This window comes from Homo sapiens, chromosome 4 (genome assembly GCF_000001405.40).
Source record: "Homo sapiens chromosome 4, GRCh38.p14 Primary Assembly".
NCBI lineage: Eukaryota > Metazoa > Chordata > Mammalia > Primates > Hominidae > Homo > Homo sapiens.
The window spans coordinates 33379856-33392493 of record NC_000004.12 but is presented as its reverse complement, the minus strand read 5'-3'; the positions used below and the strand labels follow the sequence as shown (position 1 = coordinate 33392493).

General features: G+C 34.2%; 1 annotated feature.

The window, feature by feature from the left end:
* Window positions 10950-11453: an enhancer, noted in NCBI's record as "NANOG hESC enhancer chr4:33382663-33383166 (GRCh37/hg19 assembly coordinates)". NCBI's record gives its function as "activates a minimal SCP1, AML or CMV promoter by ChIP-STARR-seq in naive H9 embryonic stem cells {active_cell/tissue: H9 hESC(naive)}" and the evidence as "EXISTENCE:reporter gene assay evidence [ECO:0000049][PMID:30033119]".

Sequence of the window (12638 nt, the reverse complement as noted above, 5' to 3'; positions counted from 1 at the left end):
GGGCTTGCTTTTTATTTTTGACTTTTGTTTTCATTACCCCTCCCTTCCTTTTTTATTAATTTCAAAAATAATTTTATAAACTCAAGGATAAATGCTAATTAATAAACTTTCCTTCTTACAAATTAAATATATCAGGTTATAGATTTTTCTAGTGAGGCACATCTTCGTATTTAGATTTTGTATACATTCCAAATACTGTTTTATTTTACTTAGTTTCTTGCTTGAACCAATGCATTTAAAAACTTTTTAGAAAATTTTCATGTTTGAGGGTTTCTAATTTAATTTGTATTATTAATTTTTAGGTATATTATATCGGAGTAAAAATATAACATAACAGCCTGGGCAACATGGCAAAGCCCTGGCTCTATGAAAAACACAAAAATTAGCCAGTCATGGTGGTGTGCGTCTGTAGTTCCAGCTACTCAGGGCTGAGGCAGGAGGATCACCTGAGCCTGGGGAAGTCAAGGCTGCAGTGTGCTATGATTGCACCACTGTACTCCAGTCTGGGTGACAGAGCAAGACCCCCCCAATGCTTCTCTATGAACACACACAGACACACACACATACACACACATACACACATGTATATATATATAAAATAAATACATCTTATGATTTTAGACATTCATTAAAATTGTTTCTATATTGTGTTATTTTAATCACTATTAATTAGTAGAAGTACAGTATTTGGTACTTTCCTTGGAGATCTGAAAGAAGATATGCATTCCATTTGTAGCTTATAAAATTGGTATTAATATTATATGTCTATGTCTATATATATATATATATATATATATATATATATATATCTTTTGAAATAGCTAAAGAACTCCAGAGCTTTAAGCTCTAGAAAAATGGAATGGACAGATTAGAGATGAATTTGTATCTGCCAAAGTAGTGATATATTCAGATATCAGCCAAATAAGTGTACAAATTTAAGATACAAGTTTTCTTTTCAAATTTTCCAGTTTAATTTTGTCACTAGTAATTCAATTTGACTTTCACTAGGGTAAAAAACTGTGATTAATTGACATATTTCAAAATTACTACTTGATTCTCTAATTATTTAATAAAAGCATTCTGTCTTAAGAATTCAAATCAAGGATGTAAGAGAAAAACTCACATAAGCCTGTTTTCTGTTGCCGAGTAATATGTGAACTGTAGTCCAAAGCAAAGTAAGATGTATGGAAGAAGGGAGATTGGCAAGTGACATTTTCCTCCATGAATTTTGCATTCTCACTTCACTCCTTGTTACCCCCTGAGCTAGAATCCCAATATGAGGCTTGTCACAATCTGTATCTGTCACCTCAAGTGAATGAACAACTTTCCAATATGTTCCTGACAGCAGGGCTTCAACCACGTGGGAGGATCTGGGAACAGCTCCTTGATTGGCACTTCAAATATCCCTCATCAGCTCCATCATGGCTTGAATTCTGCTGAAGAACGCAGGTGTTCCAAGTTGGAGTATGTTAACTATTTCTGTATTTATTTTAATTTTGAAAAAAAAGTAAGAGAAATAGTTTATTCTAAAGCCTATAATGTAAGTTTGAAATGGATGAAGTATATTTTATTGCAATCCTATTTCATAATTTACTCGTACCCTTCCTATAGATATACCCTGTCTAATATTTACAGGCAAGATATTTAAAGATAAATGACACAAACTTTTAGGCTTATACATGTTTATTAAATAGACCTATATCTGATATAGCTTAAAAAATTAGGCTTAGAACACGGAAGATCAGATTGTTTGGGAAGATTTGCTTTATTTTCTTTCTCTTATGGTCCTGAATATTAATATTAACTAGCTATGTCAGTGGGCAACTTTCAGTTACCTAAGCAGTGAATATTTATTTTAAAATACAAATTAAGTTGTATAATATTACACAGGAATTAAAATGTCTTACTCCTGAATCACTTTATTAATTTATGTTGATTCTTTAATATCTGGATTAACATATTTCTTGTAATAAATAATGAATAAACTGAAAAGTGTGTATATACTTAGGTACTATAAGAATTGCAAATGAAATACAATGACAAAGAGTGTTGGTGGGAGTTGAATAACCTTAAAACAGCATTCACACTGTCTTAATATATTTTCTCATTTAAGATTTGTTTAAGGTTGACTTATAAAAGTACCGTAAAGGATGTACACTGTCTCTAAATTTACCTTCAAGTACATTTTTCAAGAATTTAATATGAAGTTCTCTTCATATTATATATAAAGACCTGTATATTTTCAAATCCTTTTAGGAAACCATTGTTCCTAACAATGAATATGTACACATAATTCTGACCTGCTTTGTTTTGATATTTATATAAGATTGTTTAACAGCATTACATTTATGGGAAAAGGAGCATATTTTAATAGGCTAGTGTGCATCCACTTTAGAATTGGAAGGTGGCTACCATTTATGGGAAAAGAAGTATATTTCAATAGGCTATTCTGCATTAGCTTTAGAATTGGAAGGTGGCTACCTTTTGTCATAATAAAACAAAGTTGCTTAGTATTAATAGGTCAGGTTGGAGGCACACCTAAACAACTTAGAAACAAAATGCACACTGAGAACCTTCACATGTTTAATCACATAATTATTATTTTAAAGTATTATAGAGCAGGAAAAAAGAGATTTAGCAAGTGCTTGCTTCTTTTATGCTATTTCAAACTTGGTAAATTGAAAGGAGGTTTAGATTCAAGATATTTGTTTTCTTCTTTAATCCTTCAAGGACATTTTTTTCTGTTATTTTTTCTGAAATTATTCTTAAGCCAACATAACATTCTGGGTTTAAATTGCTACAACATCATGGATGTTAACTTTAGAATTAAATAATTAATATTGTTAATACCACAGATGAGCATTCTAACAGGATGTGCCACTTTAAAGAAGGTCCTCAAAAAACTGAGGCTGCACCTTGTATTGTGACTGATCACAATAGTGCTGCCCTCATTTAATGAACAGGGATGTCCGTGGAGTCTTGACAATAGTGTAGGATGTTTCAAGGTTGCCTGAGATAGGTTCTGCAAACAAGGAGTAATAGGTAATTGGGCAAGTTGTGGACAATGGCAGCTGAAGAGAAGTAAAAGAACTGGCAGCTTTGAACCCATGAGCTGATTTTAGTGACAAACAACAAAAGGAAAAGGATTTCCTACTGGGACTTCAAAGATGCCAAAATAGTCTACACACATATCAACGGAAAGCACAGTACAGTATCTTCTTGCTTTAAACTGGTGAAATAAAATGAAAGTGAAGTAGATGTTTCAATCTCCTGGACTTCTACTGTATTTTCATTTGGAAAGACTTCAAGTTACATCATAAAAGCAAAAACAAAGAGGATAAATGGAAGGCACTAAAACACTTTCTTTATTGGCCATATTCACTTCATTTTGACATGAGTCTCCTACTCTTTTCTTTGTCGTACTTGTAATAGTATTTTATTTTAATAGCCTAATAATACTGATGTCTGACCTGCTTTATGTTTTTGGCTATACAATTATCTTTTTTTGTGGAAGAGCTGGTAAATAATTTTTTAAATAATAAGAAAATGTTGATATACATTTCTGAAGTGAGAAAGAAAGGAAAGAGGAAAAGAGACAGAAAGGAAGGAAGCAGAAGAATCTCAGTTTTGAAGGAAAAAGAAACAAGTCTCACATGTATTTTTGGAGCACTGTATTGGAGATGAGAATTCTGAATATAATCAAGGAAAAATACATATTAAAAAACGCTTATATATATGATGAGAATGGTTAAGATTAGCCTTCTTTCTAACCAATTTTATGTTGGTTTTATAAAATATATATATATATATATATATATTTTTTTTTTTTTTTTTTTTTTTTTTGAGACGGAGTCTCACTCTGTCGCCCAGCCTGGAGTACAGTGGCACGATCTCGGCTCACTGCAAGCTCCGCCTCCCGGGTTCACGCCATTCTCCTGCGTCAGCCTCCCGAGTAGCTGGGACTACAGGCGCCCGCCACCATGCCTGGCTAATTTTTTTGTATTTTTAATAGAAACGGGGTTTCACCATGTTAGCCAGGATGGTCTCGATCTCCTGACCTCCTAATCTGCCCGCCTTGGCCTCCCAAAGTGCTGGGATTACAGGCGTGAGCCACCGCGCCCGGCCTAAAATATTTTTATATATATTTTAATTGCATATATGTGCTATTCTAGTAGTTATAATGATTATAAATTTAAGGATGAGGCAATATATAGTCCATATATCATATTTTATATAATCAAATATACAAATTTGTATAGATCAAATACATACATATTTATCTATAAAGGAAACTAGGAACAAATTTATCTGCTTTGGGTTCAAAGCTATTTCTTGAGAGAGTGATCACAAATAGTCATAACAAATGTGTTTCTTAACATCTCTATCAAGGGTGATTTTGTGGTCAGCTAGACATCATGGGTCATTTCTTCTGTGATATATAGGAATAAGTCAAATTCAAAGTTGCTTTCTATAAAATATAGTAGGTTAGATCGCCAGCCTCCCTTAAAATGAAATGTAGTGTTCAAGAAATAGTATATGAGATTAACCTCCTGCATTGCTAATAGTATAACTTCGACAACATAACCTAGCATCTTGGTGACTGATTTTTAAAATTCGTAATATTATAATAATTTCTACACTATAAGATTATAAAGAGTACGTGTAACAAAATGGGTAATTGCTTTAGAATTAGGAGGTGTTCTGCCAAACTTAATTAGTAGAAGTTATCCAAATGAAGAAAATTGTAAACTGTTTGCTTCTGGGAAAATGGAAAAAAAAAAAGCAGTTTAACATTTCTGGATTCTCTCAGAAAGACAGAGAATGGAGGAGAATATGACTGGTTAAGCAGGCATTAGTAATGATATAAAGAGTCTTCCATACCATGTTAAAAAGCTCAACATTGCTCTGGGGTGGTGTGTAGCCATTGCATGCTTACAAGGATGAGGCAACATGGGCAGATTTGTATCTTAGATAATTATTGAGGAGGGAGACACAAATTCTTAGAAAGCTGTTAAAATAATCACATTGAGACCTAATGAGAACCTGCGTTAATGAGGTTCTAGTAGGGATGACAGTGGTGAATAGATTGAAACAATTCTCAAAATACAAACTAGAAAGTACTTGTTAATATTTCAAATATAGAGAGCAAAAATACAGAAATAACATTCAACATTGTTATAGTTATCTTGGATTAGTCAAGGTGTGGAGCCCACTCATGACTTTTAGATAAATGCCTTTTTTTTAAACATTTTACCACATCTTTTATTATTTCTTATAGATAATTCACCTGGCTTAACGTAAAAGAAAAATTAGTGCCAGGAATTCCAGACCAATTTACTTCTGCATAAATCCATTAAATCTATTCTAGCTGGAAAAAACTATAATTTTATGGTGTGTATATTACTAAAAGTTTTCTGTGTTTTCTATGTATTTGTGTATACTTCTTTCCACTTAATTAAATATAAGATGATCTAGGTGGGAAAGAACATGAGCCCTTGGGTTTGATACCAGACTCCAAGCAGTGCCACCTAGTGATTAAGTATGACATCTAGAATCAAACAAACATGCTTCTGGAGAGATTAGCATCCATTCTTTAAACCACTGACTTTCTAGCTTTACCTTACAGCCAGGAATGTCAATCACTCATTAGTTTGATTCCATGACATTTTTATTTTACAGCTTTCTCTTCTATCCATGGATTTGTGAGTAGAGTGACTTGGAGCCAGTTAGCGTATTTGAAGACTCTCTTCACCTTGTATTACACTTCCCTAGGTTGTTTATCTTCTAGGCTTCCTTTGTCATTTGCTGTCAAGATTGTAACTTAAGGTTTTAAGGAATGACCTTCTTGGGTGTGGAGCCTACATTTTGTACTCCAAACCATGTTTACCAAGGAACTCTTCAGTGGGATATTGGCAGTGGCAAATAACATGCAATAATATTAAAGAGGTATTCAGGAATCCCATTTATCAGTGACACTTGTGAATACAGCTCCCTCAAAAACCACTTAGAAAGGAAGCATCACTAGTCCAAAGTAGAATTCAGCCTTTTCAGAATAAAATTCCATAAAACTGTATCACCCTTTCTAATGTAATATTATGCTTAACAGTAAAGCTCACCAATATCCTTAACAACTTTATTTTAATTAACAGTTATATAATGTTTTACACTTTGTAACTATTTTTGGCCTAAGTTTACCTTATTTTATCATTGAATAGTATTTTAGTTGTCAGATATTGGCTCTACTGTTCAAGTATGTCAGAATTATACTTGCTTCTGTTACTTAGAATACTGGTTGTTTAATGTTGTTAAGCACCAGTTTCCACAACTTTGAAACGAGAACTTGAAAATCCCTAAAAGGGTAAGAATTAAATGAAGCAAGACATGTAAAGAACTTAACACAATATTGCAAATACAGTAAGTACTCAATCAAAAGATGGGTATTACTACTTAAGCAATATAGGTAACCAAGATGGTCATATTCAAGGTATACAACACGATGCTTTCATATGCACATACATTGTGAAATGATTATTACAATTGAGCTAACATATCCATCACTTCACATAAAACATATCCATCACTTCACATAATAATCTGTGTGTGTGTTGACAGTGCTTAAGATCTATTCTCTTAGCAATTTTTAAGTGTACATTATAATTAATAAACTATAGTCACCATGCTACACATTAGGTCTATAAAATTTATTTATACTGTAAGTGTGTAACCTTTGACCAACATCTTCCCATTTCCCTCACCTCTCGACCTCTGGTCACCACCATTCTACTCTCTGTTTGTATGAGTTCAACTCTTTTAGATTCCACAGACAAGTGCAATCATACAGTATTTGTCTGTCCACATCTGGCTTATTTGACTTAGCATAATGTCTTCCAAGTTAAACCATGTTTTCATAAATAGCAAGATTTCCTTATTTGTGTGTCTGAATAATATTCCACAACACTGATTTTATCTATTGAGTGTTTTTGACACCTTTGCCAAACATTAGTTGACTGTGCATGTGTGGTTTTATTTCTGGATTTTCTATTTTTTCTATTTGCCTATGTGTCTGTTTTCTGCCAATAACATAATGTTTTGATTACTATCATTTTGTAATATAATTTGAAATCAGGAAGTTTGATGCCTCTGATTTGGTTCTTCTGGTTCAAGATTGCTTAGATAGTAAAGGTGGTTTTATATGAATTTGGTGTTTTAAAAAAAATTCTATCAAAACTGTTATTGGAATTTTGGTAGAGATTGCATTGAATCTGTAGATCACTTTGGGTAGTATAAACATTTGAACAATATCAATTCTCCCAATCCATGAACACAGGATATTTTTCCATTTATTTATATCTTCTTCAATGGCTTTTACCAATGTCTTACAGTTTTTAGCATACAGATATTTCACCTCCTTGGTGGAATTTATTCCTAAGTATGTTATTCTTTTTAGACTGTAAATGGGATTGATTTCTTTCTTTATTTTTATTGTAGTTTCCTGTTAGAGTATGGAAATACAGCTGATTTTCTATATTGATTTTGTATCCTGATACATTACTTATGCCCACTTTCATCACTCCTATTCAACCTAGAACTGGAAGTCCTTGTCAGAGGAATGAGTGAAGAGAAAAAATGGCATCCAAATTGAGAAAGAGAAGGTAAAATTATCCTTATTTGCTGATAATATGCTCTTACATCTAGAAAACCCTAATCAACCTAAGTATGCATCAAGAGAGGACTGGATAAAGAGATATAGTCAATATATACACAGAATGCTACTCAGCCACACACACACACAAAAAATGAAATCTTGTATCTTGCAGCAACATGGATGAAACTAGAGGCCATTATCCTAAGTAAAATAACTCATAAACAGAAAGTCAAATGCTGCATGCTCTCACTTATAAATGGGAGCTAAATAATGAGTACACATTGACATAATATACAGTCAAATAATAGACATTGGAAACTCCAAGAGGTGGAAAGGTCAGAAGGGAATGAGAGTTTAAAAATTACCTATTGTTTACAATGTTCATTATTCAGATGATGGATAAACTAAAAGCCTAGACTTTACCACTATGTGATGTATGCATGTAAGAAGCCTGTGTTTGTACCCCCCAAATATATAAAAATTTTAAAAAAATCGGTGATGATATGCCTCAGTTTTTTGTTTATCTGGAGAAATGTTTCTTTCTCCTTGCTTTTCAAAAGTAAGCTTTACCAGGCAAAGTATTGTTGGTTGACAGTTTTTTTGTATACTTTTTTCATTAGCACTTTGATTATATCATCCCACTCTCTTCTACCTTCAAAGGTTCTGCTAAGAAATCTACTGATAGATTTTGGAAATTTTCTGCATGTAAAGAACTTATTCTCTTTTGATGCTACAAGTTATTTATTTACCTTCAATATTTGGCGTTTGAGCATAATATATCTTCGTGAAGTCTTCTTTGGGTTAAATCTCATTGAAGATCTATGAGCTTCATGTACCTGGACCTCCATAATTTTTTTCCAGATTTAGGACTTTGGGTTTGCTTATTCTTTCTTCTGTGTGACCAAGTCTGCTAGTGAGGCCTTCTTTTGCATTTTTTAGTTCAGTCATTGGATTCTTCAGCTCTAAAATTTATTTTGTTCTTTCGTTATTTTTCAATTTTTTGGTTAAAGTTTTAATTTTGTGCTTGTATAGTTGTCCTAATGTCCTTAAATTATGTATCTGTTTTCTTTTATAGTTCACTGAGTTACCTTAGAACAAATATTTTGAGACATTTTTTGGAAAATTTGTGGATCTCCATGTTTTTTATTTGGTAACTGCAAGTTTATTGTTTTTCTTTGGTGGTATCGTTTTCCTGATTCTTCATGATCCTTGTCACCTTGCATAAGTGGCTTCACATTTGAAGAAACAGTAATCTCTTCCAGATTATGTGGAATAGCTTTGGTGTGAAAAGACTTTCAACTGTGGGAAGTGGAAGGAAGATAAGGGAATGCTGAAACATGCTATGGCATCGGATACCAAGTACAAGGACATGTGCGGCTTTAGTTCTGCGGTTCACAGCATCTTTTAAACTCGGGAAGCTGGGATCTGCAACACTGGAAACTGGGTAGCCCATGGTTTCAAGAGCTTCAGGAATTCTACAGAGGGTATATGGGCTGTTGGGATCTTCAGCAGTACTTCCAGATTCTGCAGTAAGGGATCAAAATCATTAGCAATGTGGACCTGAGCTAATGATGCATGTCCTTAGATGTGGGGGCTGGCTGCAGATGTTGTGCTTCTCTATAGGGATTATAGTTGGTACTGTGCCTGTATGTGGCTGAAGGAGGTAGGTGAAAGGACAAGTACAGTGGTTCAGGCCAGCGACAGGATTAGGGGCTGGCTGCCTGTACATGTGCAGCTGTAGATCCCAGGGCTGGCAATGTGCATGTGCACAGCTCTATTGCCTTTTGCAGGTTCCCAAGAAGCAGTGAGGATTGACATTTTAGGTTTGGGTTGGCTGCATGCACACACAGCTGCGGGATCCACCATGGATGCATGTTTTGCAATGGGACCTGGGGCCAATGGCTGAGGCCTGGGCTGTGTTTGGGCATTCAGATGCAGTAGCTGCATTGGGTCCCAGGACAGTTCCAGAGATCGGGATGTTAGCGAGGCAGTGGCTCAGGCACCTGGAGTCTGCAAAGGTGAAAAACTATGGCCCTGGAGATAAAGGATACAGGTGTCCTCTGTAGAGCAGGCCACTGGGTACCATGGTGGCTTCTGCCACATGGCTGATACTAATAGTGCCACACTTCTTTGTTTCTTGCTGTTTCCAGATGTGTCAGCTATACCAGTTTCCTTAGTGAGCTGGGTAGGATACCAGCAAAGGAGACCCTCTGGGCAATGACCCTAAGTCTGAAGAAGCTGGTTATTCATCCCGCTTTTCTTTTTCCTATGAAGGAAAACTAGTGAGACAAGGATTTCCGTCTTTTTGTTAGCAAAGTCTTCCTGGGGGATGGGATGATACAAGCAAAATGAGTGTGTCTTTTTTCACCATTTTGGTGCAGTTATTCTTTTTTTCCTCTACTATGTTGTTGTACCTTCTTAAATTGACTTCTGAGCTCTACCAGGTTATAGTCACTCAGGGATGGCTGTCCAGTTATTGTGTTTTGGTGGGAAGACAAAAGCTGGAATCTTTTGCTTCACAGCCTGGTTGATGATACTCTCCCAATTATTGTTATTATTGCTATTGTTACAATTTTTACAAACTGGTACATAAGTTTACAATTACTAGTCAGAGGCTCAACCATATAGGCACATAATATATTTAAATGAATAAATACATGAATTGAAGACATATCAGGCGGTGTTAAACATAGTTATCCCTGAAACACGGCACGATCTAGCATATGCAATTTTTCCTTTGCCTCCTGCAAACATTTACAACCTGGCTAAAAGTCTAGCATCTGCTGTCAGAAAACTGAGTCACAGAACAATCTGCTGCCTTGTTCAAACTTACCAGCATTTTAAGTGTCATGACTGGGATTTAAGCCAGGCTGTCTGCCTTAGGGCACCAGGCATTGGAACACTTACCTGTATCACGTTTCTAAGTATTATGATTAAACTTTATTTATTTAGCATCAAGAAGCAGGGAAAATAAATATAAACTGGATTAGTGGTTACTAGACTAAAAACAGAGTAGATTATAGGCATATAAATAAAGGCTTTTAAACCCTTCTATAAGAAATTGATTACTTTCTACAGAATAAAATGTTTCCTATGCTTCCAGTGTAGCTTAAGTGGGCACTCAGCAAACAGAGGTAAAAATTAGGTGTTTAAAATGAAATTCTTTAAAAAATACATTAATTTGTCACTAAAGTTTTTTCAGATTTATTCTTGGGGTGGGGATAAAAGACATTGAATGCCATGTATTTCATCTCATCCCAATACCTCACCAGGACAAATGCAGGATATTACATTGAAAGATACATGCCTGGAATTTAAACAGGCACTTAATTTGTGCGATAAACATTGATAAAATGTCCTAGACACTGTGCTGAGGACTGAGGATACTGAGATGAATGAGACCGTGTCCTACCTTTTAAATAATTCACCTTCCAAGGTGGAGAAATGCATGTAAAGTTAGACTCATAATGCCAGGTAGAAAAGCATATCAAAGTGTCTTTAAATTTACATCATAAGTGGCAACCTTAGCAGCCTAGGAGAGTTGCAAAGACTTCACAGCGGGAAGTATCTTTGAGCTTTGTTTTAATGAGTGTAAATGATTTCACTATCCAAAAATATGGATGATAAAAGCATTTTAAGCGTGGGAATAGCATATGTACAGTGACAGAGAAACTGGCACTATCTCAGAGACTATTGTAATTTAGAGAAAATAAGGGAAAAAGTTGAAAATATAATGGTAAATAATATAACTTTATATATATATTCCAATAAATATATGTTTTATAACTATATCAAAGGTGAAGCTTTGATATAATGCAAAGAAATATGAGAGATAATAAGACACTTTTTTCAAACATTATAAACTGCACAGCCATTTTGATTTTCATTAAAAGAGATCTTATAAACCTCCCTCTCCCATTTTTAATGGTAAAGTTTGATTACACTTTTAAATAACCATTTTGATTCCTTATTGTATGTTTATCTGACGTATATTTGATCCTTTAGAGAATACTTCCCTAATAAATTGAAATTATATTCCAGGGAAATGTGAATTTTTACCTTTTTCAAGCTCATATAATAGACATTGCTTTCTTGCTAGCATGATTTGAACAGCACCGCCTGAGACCAATTAGTAACTTGAGATTTTGAATCTCTCATTTTGGATTCATACTGCAACCATGTAATCATGAAAACTCAAAATATAATGAAAATAGCAATGCATTTGATATCAGTTAAACTCAGCTATAGTTATCAGAGTAATTACCATTTTCAACTTAAGAATCTTTACACATTTTAACTTCATAGTTCTAATTACCTCTAAAATCAATATATTACTTTACTTAATGTGTAAGGGTCACAATAACCATTCAGACTATATTAGGTTCCTATGGCTGTTGTAAGAAAAAAAATTGCTGTAACAATGTAATGACTTACAACAACAAAATTTTATTATCTTGCAATTTTAGAGGCCAGAAATCCAGAACCAGTCTTACTAACCAAAATCAAATTATTGGCCTTAATATATCCTTCTAGAGACTCTCAGGGATACTCTACTTCATTGTCTTTTGGATCTTCTGGAAACTTCCTGTATTCCTTGACTTGTGATCCCCTTTTATGTTCAAAGCCAGTGGTGTGTCAAGTCCTTCTCACATTGCCTCACTCTGACCTTATTTGCCTCCCTCTTTTCCTTTTAAGGGTCCTTTTGATAACACTGAATTTGTATCAAATTTATTTTAGTTCCCTGGTGGATTACCCCAGATAATCCCTTTGAGATCAGCTGAATAGCAACCTTAATTACATCTGTAACCTTAATTCTGTCTTGCCATATAAAGTAACATATGCATAATTTCTAGAGAACAGGTCAAGCATTTTGAGGGGCCATTATTTTACCTACTCCACAGAATAAGAATTTTTAAAAAGTAATTTAGAATCTATGGTTTTAAAAGGGCAAATTATGAGGATCAATGAAGAAAAACAAGCATATTTTAGTAAA